This window comes from Homo sapiens, chromosome 7 (assembly GCF_000001405.40).
Source record: "Homo sapiens chromosome 7, GRCh38.p14 Primary Assembly".
Lineage (NCBI taxonomy): Eukaryota > Metazoa > Chordata > Mammalia > Primates > Hominidae > Homo > Homo sapiens.
In genome coordinates this window covers 102,549,344-102,565,435 of record NC_000007.14, presented here as the reverse complement: position 1 = coordinate 102,565,435, position 16,092 = coordinate 102,549,344, and the positions used below count along the sequence as shown (strand labels likewise).

The 16,092-nt window shown below is 49.3% G+C and overlaps 1 protein-coding gene and 1 long non-coding RNA gene across 5 annotated transcripts in view; one reads left to right on the top strand and one right to left on the bottom strand.

The window, feature by feature from the left end:
• Positions 1 to 16,092, top strand: part of POLR2J3-UPK3BL2 (POLR2J3-UPK3BL2 readthrough) — a 34,665-nt gene that overhangs the window by 7,148 nt on the left and 11,425 nt on the right. The window lies entirely within an intron of this gene.
• Positions 209 to 14,210, bottom strand: SPDYE2 (speedy/RINGO cell cycle regulator family member E2). 4 transcript variants are annotated; one of them, NM_001396242.1, is made up of 9 exons: positions 14,148 to 14,210; positions 12,021 to 12,601; positions 10,859 to 11,077; positions 9,306 to 9,536; positions 8,214 to 8,272; positions 6,884 to 6,969; positions 4,443 to 4,836; positions 4,216 to 4,320; positions 1,898 to 3,380 (listed from the first exon to the last, which is right to left on the bottom strand). In NM_001396242.1, exons 2-8 carry the CDS (start codon positions 12,178 to 12,180, stop codon positions 4,261 to 4,263), a joined length of 1,209 nt encoding a protein of 402 aa, NP_001383171.1. In that variant the 5' UTR covers positions 12,181 to 12,601; positions 14,148 to 14,210; the 3' UTR covers positions 1,898 to 3,380; positions 4,216 to 4,260. The 4 variants fall into 4 exon arrangements, with proteins under 4 accessions (XP_011514539.1, XP_047276361.1, NP_001383171.1 ...); NM_001031618.3 differs by having other exon boundaries at positions 3,126 to 3,380; positions 14,152 to 14,204; XM_011516237.4 differs by having other exon boundaries at positions 209 to 4,836.

Genomic DNA, 16,092 nt, shown 5'->3' with positions numbered 1-16,092 from the left:
AAGTCAACCGGGCATGGTGGCTATGCCTATAATCCCAGCATTTTGGGATGCCAAGGCGGGTGGATCACCTGAGGTCAGGAGTTCAAGACCAGCCTGACCAACATGGCGAAACCCCGTCTCTAATACAAATACAAAAATTAGCCAAGCATGGTGGTCACTGTACTCCAGCCTGGGTGACAGAGCAAGACTCCGTCTCAAAAAAAAAAAAGAGAAAGAAAGTATCATGCTTTTCTGCATTCTGTGAATTGTTTTAGTGAGTTATCGAACTTGAGGGCATGGTGGGAACCTCCAAATTTGCAGCCAGTTGGTGAGAAGTACATGTGGTCTGAGGACACCCAAGCCTGCAGGTGTGTCTAAAGCGAGGGCAGCCTAGTGGGGACTGGTGGCCTTAACCTGTGGCATTTGAGGTAACATCAGGGAGTTGACATCAGAATTGCATCACATAGGCTGGGCGCGGTGGCTCACGCCTGTAATCCTAGCACTTTGGGAGGCCAAGGCGGGCAGATCACGAGGTCAGGAGATCGAGACCATCCTGGCTAAGACAGTGAAATCCCGTCTCTACTAAAAATTCAAAAAATTAGCCAGGCATGGTGGCGGGCGCCTGTAGTCCCAGCTACTCGGGAGGCTGAGGCAGGAGAATGGCGTGAACCCAGGAGGCAGAGCTTGCATTGAGCCAAGATCACGCCACCGCACTCCAGCCTGGGTGACAGAGCGAGACTCCATCCCCCCCAAAAAGAAAAAAGACAAAAAAAAAATTGTGTCACACAGGCCAGATGCAGTGGCTCATGCTTATAATCCCAGCAATTTGAAAGGCAAGGTAAGAGGATCGCTTGAGCTTGAGTCTGAGGCCGCAGTGAGCTATGACCACACCACTGCACCCCAGTCTGGGTGACAGCGCAAGACCCCAACTCCAAAAAGGAAAAAGAAAAATCACAAGGAATTGCATGTCAGAGTGCCTGTCTTTCACAGCTTTAACTGCTGCAGGAACGAACTTTTTTTTTTTTTTTTTTTTTGAGAGGGGGTGAGGAGACACAATCTCTGCTAGTGATTCTCCTGCCTCAGCCTCCCAAATAGCTGGGATTATAGGCGTGCACCACCACGCCTGCCTAATTTTTGTATTTTTAGTAGAGACAGGGTTTCACCATGTTGGCCAGGCTGGTCTCAAACTCCTGCTGGGATCATGGGCGTGAGCCACCACGCCCGGCCACCTTTAGAGTTTTCTTACCACCTGGTTTTCCTCTCTCAATATCTTTCTCTCATTTCCTGCCTTAAAACTCTAGCTTGGCATCTGGGCGCAGTAGCTCATGCCTGTAATCCCAGCACTTTGGGAGGCCGAGGTAGGTGGATCACTTGAAGTCAGGAGTTCGAGACCAGCCTGGCCAACATGGTGAAACCTTGTCTCTACTATTTTTACAAAAGTTAGTCGGACGTACAGACGGGTGCCTGTAGTCCCAGCTACTTGGGAGGCTGAGGCAGGAGAATTTGTTTGAACCCAGAGGTGAAAGTTGCAGGGAGCCGAGGTTGTGCCACTGCACTCCAGCCTGGGAGACAGAGCAAGACTCTGTCTCCAAAACAAACAAACAAACAAAAAAACCCTGTAGCTTGGGATCAGCCTTCTCTTCTATTGTTTTTCTTTAAAAAATAAAAATTAAAAATAGATGTAGATGCTATGTTGCTGAGGCTGGCCTCAAACTCCTGGCCTCAGGTGATCCTCCCGCCATGACCTCCAAAACCACAGGGATTGTAGGTGTGAGCACTGCACCCAGCCTTATGTTTTTTTCTACATAAAAAACAGCACAGGATTATCTTCCAGAGCTAATAAATATGTTCAAATAACCACAACCCCATTAAGGAAAAATATCACTGGGCAGCAAATAATCAATCCAGACCAATATGATCACAATTGCTGTGAAGGTGAGAAAAGTTCATTTTTATTATGTTTCCCCAAGAGACGCACTCTATTGTTCTCTTGAAAACACACAGCTCATGTCCTCCTTTAGAACACACATCCTCTTTAAAGTAACATACAAACATGCCAAAACAAGGTAAAAAATTACATCTGAATTCTCACATTTCAAATATATATGAAATATCAAATAAAAATTTATTTTTACAAGAATTTAGGGGAACTACTACATAGCTATAAATGTAATATATATGTTAACTAAGTATCATAGATAAAAACCATGCTCCCTTCAGCAGCACGTGTAATAATAGATACAAAGATTGAAAGGTAAAAGATTTAGGATGAAAAGAATCCTCTCTTAAAAAGGAAAACAAAATTATATGTATGTGTATATAACAGTTATAATATCCATCACACAGCTTTATAGAAACAGCATCTATTCAAAAATACCAGTATTTCCAAAATATTTAAAATAATATTTAAAGTAATAATAATATTTAAATAAATAAATATATTTAATAAATATTTAAATAAATAAAATAATATTTAAATAATTCTATACCCATGTTTTTCAAAATAAACCAATAAAATAGATAGTATATATTAGACGTGTTAGTATATATATCTGAGGCATGTTAAAAATCACAACTGAATTCTCACAATTCAGTCACAAACCTAAACAGCAAATAAAAATTTCTATCACCAGAATTATGTTTTTTTCTGGTGGGGAACTACCAATAGCTATAAATAGAAGAGATTATTATGGAAGTATCATAGATAAAAAGAGTGCTCGCTTCAGGAGCACATGTAATAATACAGAAACAAATTTAAAGATAATAAAATATTTAGGATAAAAAGAATTGTCTCTTAAAAATGAAAAGAAAATTAGCTTTATGTATATATAACAACTATAACTCTCATCAAAAAACTACAGGAACAGCATGTTTTCAAAAGTACAACAATTTCCAAACTATTTGAAATAAATCTATGAATAATTCAATGGCCGACATTTTCCATACAAACCAATAAAATGCAGAGTGTGCATGAAGCTATCTGTTACAATCTGTGGCACTGATATTTCACAAAAGAATTCTGTCCCAATCTGAGCCCCTGCATTGTGCCTTCAAATCCTCCTGGACTGCAAGTCCGTAAGAAACAGGACCTCCAGGTTCCGCCCCAGGGAGGTTGGAATTCAGCAATATAAAAAGGGTGGTGGTGCCGCAGGAAAGGGTGGAACTGGAAACGCTCCTGGTTTCTTACTTTTCTCCAAGGACTCCTAGAAGGACCCCACCCCCCTCCCCCCACCCCTGCTCCTAGGAGGACAACGTGATCACTGTATTCAGCTCCATCAAGAATGGTCCAGGTTCTTCTAGATGATCTGCACAAATGGTTCCTCTCCTCCTGCCTGGTGTCTGCCATTAGCATTGGAATAAAGTTCCCGCTGAAAATCCACATCTCCCCTGGGTCCGGTGTTCTGGAAGCGAGAGAGACAATGTCACACTTCAAGGAGGCAGCTCTCTAGACAGGAAAGTTATTCACGTCCCATGTCAATTGAGAAATGCAATTTTATCTGCTGCCTTTCATTCTATACCCTGCTTCTGAACCATCGTGTTCAACTGTGAAACTCACACTTTGGTGACCACGACTCCAAAACTCACTTAATACACCCAAGGTCAGCCCCAGTGATCTGCTTCATAGCAAGGACTTTGGGTGGGTCTGCCCAGGGAGTAGGGCACCCTCAGAGAATGTGGCTTTGGACTTTATCACAGCTGGGGCCTTTTGTGTCACTTAAGATCTAAACTTGTAACCATGCTAGATGTGTTTCTAATGTGACAACATCACGAACCACGAGTCCAGAAGCCTAATCCTTAATCCTACCTCCTCATGATGAAGTCTCATGCTCTGTGCTCAACGTGGTTAGCTGCACAAGATGTAAACCAAAGCTTCACTGAACCCTCGACCCAAATCAGTAACTCAAGTGCGTCAATCATAATGAACCTCCCCAAACTCAGTTTTTATGATTATTTTTGAGGCAGGGTCTCACTCTGTCGCCCAGACTGGAGTGCAGTGGCAGGATCAGGGCTCCGTGCGGCCCCGACCTTCCAGGCTCCAGCGATCCTCCCGCCTCAGCCTCCTGAGTAGTTGGGAGTAGAGATGCGTCCCACATCGCCTGGCTAGTTTTTGTATTTTTGTGGAGAGGGGATCTCGCCACGTTGCCCAGGCTTGAAGCCAGATCAAGCAATTGGGTTCTTCGGATTTCCGAAATAGACCCCAATATTCTGCCTTTACCCCAGAGGATGCAGATGTACCTTCTCTCAGGCCGATGACCTCAGGCCTCCCCGGTCCCTGGAGCTCTAGGAAAGGTGAGCGCGATCTCGCGCCCACACCCAGTGCTCTGGGTCATAAGCCTGGATCTGGAAAAACAAACGCCCTTTGAGAAGACGGGGACTCGCCAGGATACCCCTCTCTCCCCTCATCCAGCCTCCAGCCCACCCAATTCCTCCCCACCTCCTCCACCTCCCCAGGCCCCACTCACCTCCTCCAACTCCTCTGGGGAAACCCAAGCCCTGCAGCTCATGGAACAGAAGAAGTGGAACCGTCGTTTCTGGAACAGGACTATCTGAGAGCGGTTCTTCCTGGCCCTCGAGTTCATGGAACGGTATAACTGGAACCGACGCTTACGGAGCAAGGGTATGCGAGAGCGGTTCTTCCTGGCCCTCGGGTTCGTGGAACGGTATAACTGGAACCGACGCTTACGGAGCAAGGGTATGCGAGAGCGGTTCTTCCTGGCCCTCGGGTTCATGGAATGGCCTAACTGGAACCAAGGCTTACGGAGCAAGGGTATGCGAGAGCGGTTCTTCCTATACAGGAAGTGGAAGATGTTTTGTTTGGAGTCCTCGTCGTCCTCCTCCATGTCATTGGCCAGGTAGCTGAGGACAGAAATCAGGTTGCTGCTCAGGGGCACCACCAGGAGAGGCCTCCGGCTGAGGTCAGCTTCCCAGAGAGGAAGGTAAGGGACCGTCCCTAGCTCAGGACTGGCACCCACCCTGCAGAGAGCCATGCCTTCCTCAGGAGGGCTCTGCTGGACAGAGACCTGATCAAGGGCGTCTCCCACTCCTTCAGGATGGAGACAAAAACCCAACTGGTGGCCGAGAGTGGTGGCTTACGCCTGGAATCCCAGCACACTGGGAGGCCAAAGCAGGAGGATCACTTGAGGCCAGGAGTTTGAGACGGGCCTGGGCAACATAGCAAGACCCTCGTCTCTATTAAAAATGTAAGAAATATGCCAGACGCGGTGGCTCATGCCTGTAATCCCAGCACTTTAGAAGGCTGAAGCAGGTGGATCGCTTGAGACCAGGAGTTGGAGACCAGCCTGGTCAACACGGAGAAACCCCATCTCTACTAAAAATACAAAAATGAGCCTGGTGCGGTGGCACACCTGTTAGGCCTAGCTACTCAGGAGGCTGAAGCATAAGAATTGTGTGAACCCAGGAGGCGGAGGTTGCAGTGAGTTGAGATTGGGCCACTCCATTCCAGCCTGAGAGGCAGAACAAGACTCTGTCTCAATAAACAAACAAACAAACAAACTGTCCAGGTGTGGTGGCACAGCCCTGTAGTCGGAGCTAATGAAGCTGAGGTGGGAGGATCGCTTGAGCCCAGGATATGGAGGCTGCGGTGAGCTATGATCTCACCACTGCACTCCAGCTTGGGGGACAGGGCAAGTCTGTCTCAAAAAAATAAAAGAAATTGAATACATTGATATTTTGCCAGGACCCTGCCTTCTACAGGCATCTAGTCTAATGGGACTGGGAGTAATCAAGGCAGATGACCTAATCCCAGTGTCCAGGATGTAACTAGAGAGCTACGGGCATGCAGAAGTTGGAAGATGAGGGAAGGCATCACAGAGGCTGTGGGGTGAACTGATTTCAAGGAATGGGTCCTTCCCTTCAGAGCCACATGTGTGCGGGACACCCAGACAGAAAACACAAACACAAAGTCGAGTGGAGGGCATTTGGAAGGAGCAGTGAAGCCGAGCCAGGAAATACCAAGATGGCGAGCCAGTGTGCTTGTAGAGATTGTAGAGAGGGTAGAATTGACACTGTGGACCCTGGCCTCGATAGAGAAAGGCATCAGCTAAGGAAGTTGTTCAGGTGGGCAGTGAGGTTGTCGTGCTTTGGAAAGATGTTCAGGCTGCACTAGGAAGCCCCCTGGCTTGGGGAGAGACTCCAGGAGACCCCAGCGGGGAGCATTTGACAGTAAATTCGAGTGATGCGAGGGGGACCTGAACTGTGGCCTCTGTCATGGGAACCCAGAGGAGGTCGATGGCGTTTGTGGTTGATGTGGGAAGGAGAGAGAGAGAAGAACCAGAAACGTCTGCTTGCTGGAGGAAGCGGCATGTCCGCTCCTCCACTCCTTTTCTTTTCCCCTTAGGAGCGGTTTATGGTTCCTTTTGTTTTATTCTTTTATTTGTACACTGGCATTGGAGTTTGTTTTTTTGGCTTTTTTTTTTTTTTTTTTTTTTTTTTTGAGAAAAAGTCTCACTCTGTCACCCAGGCTGGAGTACAGTGGCTCGACCTTAGCTTACTGCAACCTCCACCTCCTGGGTTCAAAGGGTTCTCTTGCCTCAGCCTCCCGAGTAGCTGGGATTACAGATGCACACCACCACGCCCAGCTAATTTTTCTATTTTTAGTAGAGACGGGATTTGGCCATGTTGGCCAGGCTGGTCTCGAACTGCTGACCTCAGGTGATCCGCCTGCCTCGGCCTCCCAAAGTGCTGGGATTACAGGCGTATTCCACTGTGCCCAGCCTGAGTTTCTGTTTAGAAACAACAGTCTATGATAGTATAATCCTCTCTTTTTTGTACACAGAGTAAAGAGGACAAATAGGTGAAAGAATAAATGAAAGGCTGGAATCCCACTTCCCCCGCTGTCCCAGGGCATTGGATATTGACGGATAGGAGGCAGCAAACCACTCACAGAGCCAGGAAGAAATGAATGCGTTGGTATTGCCAGGAGGGGAAGCCGGCCCGGCTGAAATACGCTATGACCATAGCCAGGAGATACTGATGGAGAGAAAGGAACACAGAGAGGGAGAGGTCACATCTTGGAAGAGGAAGATTGTGGAGAGGGGGAATGAGGGTCTGGGGAGGGGCTGCCCATCAGAGAAGGGACCTCAGTGTTGGGGTGACTACTCATTTGGAAATTGCGGGATGGAGGGGTATTCGAAGGTCGGATGCAAATCCGAGAAGCCAGAGGAAGGGTTTTGGGTGATGCTCCCAGGATGGTGGGCTCCGATGGGATCTTTGGAGGGGGTGTGTCTAGGTCGGCTGGTGTCAGGAGGGTCTTTTGTGTGCCAGGCAGAGAACTGTCCCGAAGAGCTGAGAGTAGAGGGGCCAGGATCTTCGGGGCTGCGGCCAGACTGTGGCCCAGAGCTCAGATCCCAAAGGACCCATAGGAGAGGCAGGGGCCACTCATTCACTCTGCAAGAGACCAGCAGAATCCTGAGGGAGATGCTGACAAATCATAAAAAGACCAAGAATAGCCGGGAGTGGCGGCTCAAGCCTGTGATCCCAGTACTTTTTGAGAGGTGGAGACAGGAGGATCATGTGAGCCCAACAGTTCGAGAACAACCTGGGCAACATAGTGAGACCCTGTTTCTACAAACATTTCAAAAATTAGTTGAGCATGGTGGCATGTGCCTAGTCCCAGCTCCTCAGGAGGCTGAGGAAAGAAGATTGCTTGAGCCCAGGAATTAGAGGCTGCAATGAGCTATGATCATGCCACTGCACTCCATCCTGGGGAGCAGAGCTAGACTCTGTCTCACAAAAAAAAAATTTGTGGGTGCCAAGACTCAAGACCATGGGAGCTGGTCGGGCACAGTGGCTGACGTCTATAATCTCAGCACTTTGGGAGGCCAAGGCGGGTGGATCGCCTGAGGTCAGGTGTTCAGGACCAACCTGGCCAACATGGCAAAACCCCGTTTCTACTAAAAACACAAAAATTAGCCAGGCGTGGTGGTTCATGTCTGTAATCCCAGCTGCTTGGAGGCTGAGGCAGGAGAATCGCTTGAACCCAGGACGCATCGGCTGCAGTGAGTCAAGATCGAGACACTGCCCTCCAGCCTGGGCAACAGAGCAAGACTCTGTCTCACACACACACACACACACACACACACACAAAAAAAAAAAAAAAAGACTGTAGGAGCATCTGGTGGGAGGTGGTGGAGGGAGAACTGTGGGTTTGGAAGCTGCGCCCTCCCCCCAGCCATGCGTTGGAACAGGAACAGTTACATGGAGAACAACCTTACCTTGTCCGACACCCTCAGATCTTTGTCCCAGGCCAAGAATCTTTTAATGACAGGATCCTCTGTGATTAGAGAGCAGATGTCAGTGTGAGAAGCAGGACAGGGTTTCCGTGGGAGCAGCAGGGCAGGGAGGAGAAGTGTGCCTCCCGGGGGGAAGTCTCAGGATTGTGGCCGCGGGTGAGGTGGATGGGAGAGGGGAGAATGACTTTCACTGGGCAAGGGAGAGAGGCTCCCGCTCTGAGACTCCCCTGAGAAGAGGCCGAAGGAGGCCCTGGGTGTGAGAATCTACAGGATGTAGAGCTGGGAATCAGCCAGGACCCCCTCCAGCAGACACGGAGGGACCACTGCAGAGTCATAAAGGAATTCCCATCATTTCCTCATGAGACAGTCACATCAGGGTGTGACCATGGCCTTGGTATCCCCCACTATGGATGGAGACACTTAGGTTTAGAAAAGTCAGTAAGAGACATTAAGTTTCAGAGGGCACAGCTGAAACCACTTTCTTTGTTTATTGATTTTGTTTTTCTTTATTGGATTTTTATTTTTATTTATTTATTAATTTATTTTGAGACAGAGTCTTGCTCTGTGGGCCAGGCTGGAATGCAGTGGCCTGATCTTGGCTCACTGCAACCTCTGCCTCCCGGGTTTAAGCGATTCTCCTGTCTCAGCCTCCCGAGTAGCTGGGATTACATGCATGAGCTACTGTGCCCAGCCTTGGTTTTTCTTTTGAGACAGGGTTTTGCTCTGTCACCCAGGCTGGAGTGCAGTGGTGTAGTCATAGCTCACTGCAGCCTCAAAGTCCTGAGTTCAAGCAATCCTCTTGCCTCAGCCTCCCAACGTGCTGGGATCTCAGGCGGGAGCCACTGCGCCTGGCCCGAAACCAAGCTTTCTTATCCCAAGCGCTGACCTTTATCAAGTTGACCTAATCCTTTATCATCTCCTAAGTGTCCCTCATGAGTGATCACTTCACATTCCTCCCACATGGAGAGCTCACCCACTGGGGCCTATTTTTCCCATTGGAAAAGTGTGGTTATTGGAAGTTTCCTGTTTTTGGAAAGAACAGGATTGGAGGTGCTCTCTGGGGTGTCCTCCTACCAAGCAGCCTGTTGAAGGCCTCGTGGTGCTCAGGGAGCACGAGCGACACTCGCCGTCGCTTCAGCTTCATCTTGAGGCCACACAGCATCTCCGCCACCCAGATCTCCTCAGGCTCAGGGGCGAGCACCTTCCGTGGCTCCTCCTCCAACGACTCCTCAGATTCGTCCCACCACTCCATCTTCCTTTTCCAGCAAAAGGACCTATGCGGGGGGCTGGGATCTACCCCAGGGGCTGAGTAAAGAAACCAGGCCACGGTGTAATGCTTCTGCAGTTGATCACACTAGAGCCCGACCCAAAACCCCAAACCACTCTCCATCCTCCCCAGCCTCGCAGACTGCTGGCTTCTCCAAGCCATCTTTCCTTCTGTCTGTCTCCTCTGCTGAGCTGCATGTGCCGCTCCTTCTCCTCCCCATTCTCCCGTTTTTCTGTCCTCAGAACACTTCCTCATATCCTTCCCTGGTCCCTGGCTCTCTGAGTCCCTTTTTTTTTTTTTTTTTGTTGTTGTTGTTGTTGTTGTTGAGAAACAGTCTTGCTTTGTGGCCTAGGCTGGAGTGTAGTGGTGCGATCTTGGCTCACTGCAACCTCTGCCTCCCGGGTTCCAGTGATTCTCCTGCCTAAGCCTCCCAAGTAGCTGGGATTACAGGTGCCCACCAGAACGCCCAGCTCATTTTTGTGCTTCTAGAAGAGACAGGGTTTCACCATGTTGGCCAGGCTGGTCTCCAACTCCTGGCCTCAAGTGATCTGCCTGCCTGGCCTCCCAAAGTGCTGGGATTACAGGTGTGAGCCACTGCACCCTGCCTCAGTACCTCCATTCTTCCCACACACCCTCCTCATGTGCTCCTTCCTGACTTCTGGGCCCTTCCTTCCTTCTTTTTTTTTTTTTTTTTTTTTTTTTTTTGAGACAGCGTCTCACTCTCTCACCCAGAATGGAATGCAGTGGCGCTATCTTGGCTCAAAGCAACCTCTTCCACCTGGGTTCAAGCGATTATCCTGTCTCAGCCTCCTGAGTAGCTGGGATAACAGGCATGCCTGGCTAATTTTTGTATTGTTAGTATAAATGAGGTTTCGCTATATTGGTCTGGTTGGTCTCGAACAACTGACCTCAAGTGATCCACCCATCTCAGCCTCCCAAAGTAATGGGATTACAGGCATGAGCTACCACACCTGGCCTTCGTTTTTCTTTTGACACAGGGTTTTGCTCTGTCACCCAGGCTGGAGTGCAGTGGTGCAGTCATAGCTCACTGCAGCCTCAAAGTCCTGAGTTCAAGCAATCCTCTTGCCTCAGCCTCCCAACGTGCTAGCATCTCAGGCATGAGCCACTGCACCTGGCCCGAAACCAAGCTTTCTCATCCCAAGCGCCAACCTTTATCAAGTCTAGCCTAGTCTTCTATCGTCTCCTAAGTGTCCCTCATGAGTGATCACTTCTGAGTCCTCCTGCGTGGAGAGCTCAGCCACTGGGGGCGTATCTTTCCCATTGGAAAAGTGTGGTTATTGGAAGTTTCCTCTTTTTAGAAAGAACAGGATTGGAGGTGCTCTCTGGGGTATCCTCCTACCAAGCTGACTGTTGAAGTCCTTGTGGTGCTCAGGGAGGATGGGTGACACTCGCTGTTGCTTCAGCTTCATCTTGAGCCCACACAGCATCTCCACTACCCAGGTCTCCTCAGGCTCAGGGGCGAGCTCCTTCTCCGGCTCCTCCTCAGATTCATCTGACCACTCCCTCTTCCTTTTCCAGCCAAGGGACCTACATGGGGGGCTGGGATCTACCCCAGGGGCTGAGTAAAGAAACCAGGCCACCGTGTAATGCTTCTGCATCTGATCACCTTAGACCCCGACCCCAAACCCCAAACCACTCTCCATCCTCCCCAGACTTGCAGACTGCTGGCTTCTCTAAGCCATCTTTCTGATTTTCTCCTCTGCTCAACCCCATGTGCCGCTCCTTCCCCTCCCCATTCTTCTCTCTCTCTGTCCTCCGAACACTGCTTCATGTCCTTCCCTGGTCCCTGGCTCTCTGAGTCCCTCCTTTTTTGTTTTGTTTTGTTTTGACACAGAATCTTGCTTTGTCACCCAGGCTGGAGTGTAGTGGTGCAATCTCAGCTCACTGCAACATCCATCTCCTGGATTCCATTTATTCTTCTGCCTCAGCCTCTCAGGTAGCTGGGATTACAGGTGCCTGCCATAATGCCCAGCTCAATTTTGTACTTTTAGTAGAGACAGGGTTTCACCATGTTGGCCAGGCTGGTCTCAAACTCCTGGCCTCAAGTGATCCGCCTGCCTTGGCCTCCCAAAGTTCTGGGCTTACAGGTGTGAGCCACTGCACCCAGCCTGAATTTCTCCATTCTTCCCACACACCCTCCTCAGGTTCTCCTTCCTGACCACTGACCCTTCTTTTCTTTTTTTTCTTTTTTTGGAGTGCAGTAGCGTGCTCTCAGCTCACTGCAACCTCTTCCTCCCAGTCTCAAGTGATTCTCCTGTTTCAGCCTCCTGAGTAGCTGGGATTACAGGTGTGCACCACTACAACTTGGCTAATTTTTATACTTTTAGTAGAGATGGGGTTTCACCATATTGGCCAGGCTGGCCTTGATCTCCTGACCTCAGGTGATCCGCCCGCCTCGGCCTCCCAAAGTGCTGGGGTTACAGGCGTGAGCCACCGCACCCGGCCCCCTTCCTTCGTCTTAGTCAATCCTATCCCACCTCTTCTTCCACCAGTCCCCTCACCTGATGGTCCCAACATTTCATCATCCACCACCTCCTGGAGGGGGTACCCCGAGGTGCTCCGCTGGGGACTCTGCTCATTCTGGGGGTGCGGTTGACGGCTGGTCGTGATCTTTCCCGTAATCTGTCCCCTCTTACGGAACCTAGTCTCCGTTCTGTCCATGGCCTTCTTCTGGACACTTCTAGGATCCAGAAGAGTATGTTATCAATTCTCAAGCCTAGGAGAAGTCAGGAGTAGAGAACAGCTCTGAGAAGATACTGTTGTCCAACTGATCTCCAGGCACCACGGAGTCCGGTCCCTCCAATCAGGAAGGTCGGAATCTCTGATGTCATCGTTCATGCCAACCTGGCAACCAGTTTGAAAAAAAACACATGTAACTGCCAGGCTGATCTCTTGTCCTGGAGATCCTGGGTGAATGGTATCTCCTGCCACTGTCCCAACCTCAGACCATTGTCCAAAAGCATCTTCAGGGACTCCACATCCCTCTATTCCCTGTCCCAGCAGAGGCTGTGTCCTCTCCACTCAAAGCCTGAAGCATGTTGGGGTCTCTTCGTCTCTGTACATGCCCATTTCAGAGTCCAGTCTGGTGGGAGAGGGAACAGAGTGGGAAAGAAAACTAGGGTAAGCAGAAACGATGAAACCTTATAAGAGTGAGAGTATCATGTACAAGAGTGAGATTATCATGTACAAGAGTGAGATTATCACGTACAAGAGATCCCAGGAATACTGACTTGATGAAAAAGTCACATCAGAGCACTCAGTTTGGCAGAGCTTTTCTGCCGAATGTTTACTCACATTCACTGTCCGAGATTCTATACTGGGGGTACACACGTCCTCTGCCCTAAGGCAATTTTGAGTCCAAGAGACATTTTGAGGCCTAAAAATCATAGGAAACTGCCCCTGAGCTCACACATATTTCCAATGGTGTCCCCAGTTTCAGGGAATCCATGGATTACCTAAGCCAGCCCCTCCAGTTCGGCTAAGAAACTCTAGTCTATATATCAAGTTTTGTATCATATGTATTGCTCTGAACTCAGAAATTTCCCTTCCATTTATGGATTCTATGAATAAAATATCACATGTACAAAAAGACTAAGTCAAAAAATTTCAGCTGTGCACAGTGGCTCATGCTTGTAATCCCAGCACTTTGGGTGGCCAAGGGAGGAAGATTGCCTGAGGCCAGCAGTTCGAGACCAGTATAGGCAACATAGCAAGAGCCCATCTCTAAAAAAACAAAACCAAACCAAATTAGCCAGGTGTGGTGGCTGGCACCTGTGTTCCAACTACTTGGGAGACTCATGTGACAGGAAGATCACTTGAGCCCAGGAGTTAGAAGCTGCAGTGAGCCGTGATCTTGCCACTGCACTCCAGTCTGGGCAACACAGCAAGATACTGTGTCAAAAAAATTTTTTTTGATAAAAAATAAAAGAGTTACATGACATTCAGAGACCATCCAAAAAACCTGTGGGTTCCCGGCTGGGCTCAGTGGCTCATGCCTGTAATCCCAGCACTTTGGGAGGCCAAAGTGGGTGGATCACTTGAGGTCAGGAGTTTGAGACCAGCCTGGACAACATGGTGAAACCCCATCTCTACTAAAAATACAAAAAATTAGCCAGGCATGGTGGTGGATGCCTGTAATCGCAGCTACTCAGGAGAGGGCGCTGGAGAATCACTTGAACTCATGGTGCGCAGGTTGCAGGGAGCCAAGATGGCACCATTGTGCTCCAGCCTGGGCAACAAGAGCAAAACTCCATCTCAAAAAAAATAAAGAACCTGCGAGTGAGTTCCCACACGTTTTCCTAATGGGCTGCTGCTTTCCTAGGAGTCTCTCGCTCATAGAAAAGGCACAAACTGAAAGAGGAAGCAGATCCCATTGCTGTGGAAGTCCCATTGTTAGGAAGCTCTGCTTTTCTGGAGTTCAAATTCGCATTCATGACGCTTTAAACCGTCAGAGCTGGGTGGGTCCTCCTACAACAAAATAGTTTGCTCTCTCTCTCCTAGTTAACAGGCTTTCAAATATTAGAAGATCAATGTTCTGACCCCATTAAAATTTCTCTTTTGTGGAATGAAAAGCTCTGATTTAACCCATCTTCAAGGCTGGTTTGATGGAGGAATAGGGGCTGAGTCACCTGCATTTCCCCTCCCTGCACAAAGTCCTGGGCCCAGATCTGGGGTCTGTCTCTGCTGAGGGTGGGGTGAACCAGGAAGCACCTCCTTCTTCATCTCCTTGATGAATGGGTATAATGGTTGCCATGGAACTGGGGCTTGTTTGATGACCTGGGGCTGGGTGGGCCTCTGAGAGCCTTTATAGCTGATTGCCTTTTGGGAGAGGGGAGGTGGGAGCCCCACCCTGTCTCATGAGTCACCCCAAAGGTGCATGGGCAGGCAGGTGCTGGGGAATCGGCTACTCCCCAGAGCTTGGCGTGGCCATCCCTGTGGCCCCTCTGGGAGTCTGGAGCCCATTCCCTCACACTGGTACTCACTGCAGCTGGGGACATCTGCACTAGGAAGACAGGACACGGCATGGAAGCTGGCCTCTGCCCAGAAGCCATGACATTCTGGTCACCAGCCTGATGCTATAAAACGAGTGTCACGGCCGGGCATGGTGGTTCACACCTGTAATCCCAGCACTTTAGGAGGCCAAGGCGGGTGGATCATGAGGTCTGGAGTTCGAGACCAGCCTGGCCAACATGGCGAAATCCCGTCTCTACTAAAAATAAGAACATTAGCCAGGTGTGGTGGCACATACCTGTAGTCCCAGCTCCTCTGGAGGCTGAGGCAGGAGAATCACTTAAACCCAGGAGGCGGAGATTGCAGTGAGCCGAGACCACGGCATTGGACTCCAGGCTGGGCAACAGAGCACGACTCCATCTCAAAAACAAACAAAAAAAAAAGAGTGTCACCTGGGGCTACTTGGCCAGACACAGAGAGCAAGGAGACATCCCTATTATCTGTCAAAAATAATTGTTGGGGCTGAGCACAGTGGCTCATGCCTGTAATCTCAGCACTTTGGGAGGTCGGGGCAGGAGGACTTGAGGCCTAGAGTTTGAGACCAGCCTGGGCAACATAGCGAGCACCCCATCTCCAGAAAAAATTTAAAACTTGGCTGGGCGCAGTGGCTCATGCCTGTAATCCCAGCACTTTGGGAGGCCGAGGGGGATGGATCATTTGAGGTCAGGAGTTTGAGACCAGCCTGGCCAACATGGTGAAACCCCATCTCTACTAAAAATACAAAAATTAGCCGGGCATGGTGGTGGGCACCTGTAATCCTAGCTACTTGGGAGGCTGAGGCAGGAGAATCGCTTGAACCCAGGAGGCGGTGGTTGTAGTGAGCTAGGATCATGCCATTGCAGTCCAGCCTGGACAGCAAAGCTAGACTCCATCTCAAAAAAAAAAGAAAAGAAAAAGTAAAAAATTTAAAAATTAGATGGGCATGGTGACATGTGCCTGTAATCCCAGGTACTAAGGAAGCTGAGGTAGGAGGATGACTTGAGCCTAGGAGTTCGAGGCTGCACAATTATTGTGCCAGACCCCTAGGTTAACAGTGAGGATTCAGTGGGAGAACTAAACAGATAAACAGATCCAGTCCCCGCCCTCAGAGAGTTACAGTTTAATGGGAAAAAGAGACATTCACCAAAGAAGGACACAGCCCACTAGTGAGTTACACTCGAGAGGGATCATTTACAGAACAAAGCAGATTATAAAAATACAGCGATTGGCTGGGTGCAGTGGCTCACGCCTGTAATCCCAGCACTTTGGGAGGCAGAGACGGGCGGATGACTTGAGGTCAGGAGTTCTCAACCAGCCTGGCCAAAATGGTGAAACCCCATCTCTACTAAAAACACAAAAATTAACCAGGCGTGGTGGTGGGCACCTGTAATCCTAGCTACTTGGGAGGCTGAGGCAGGAGAATGAATCGCTTGAACCCAGGAGGTGGAGGTTGCAGTGAGCCGAGACCGCACCATTGCACTCTAGCCTGGGCAACAAGAGCAAAACTCCGTCTCAAAATAAATACATACATACATACATGCATACATACATACAGGGATTAAAATAGTCTAGTACTGACACCTG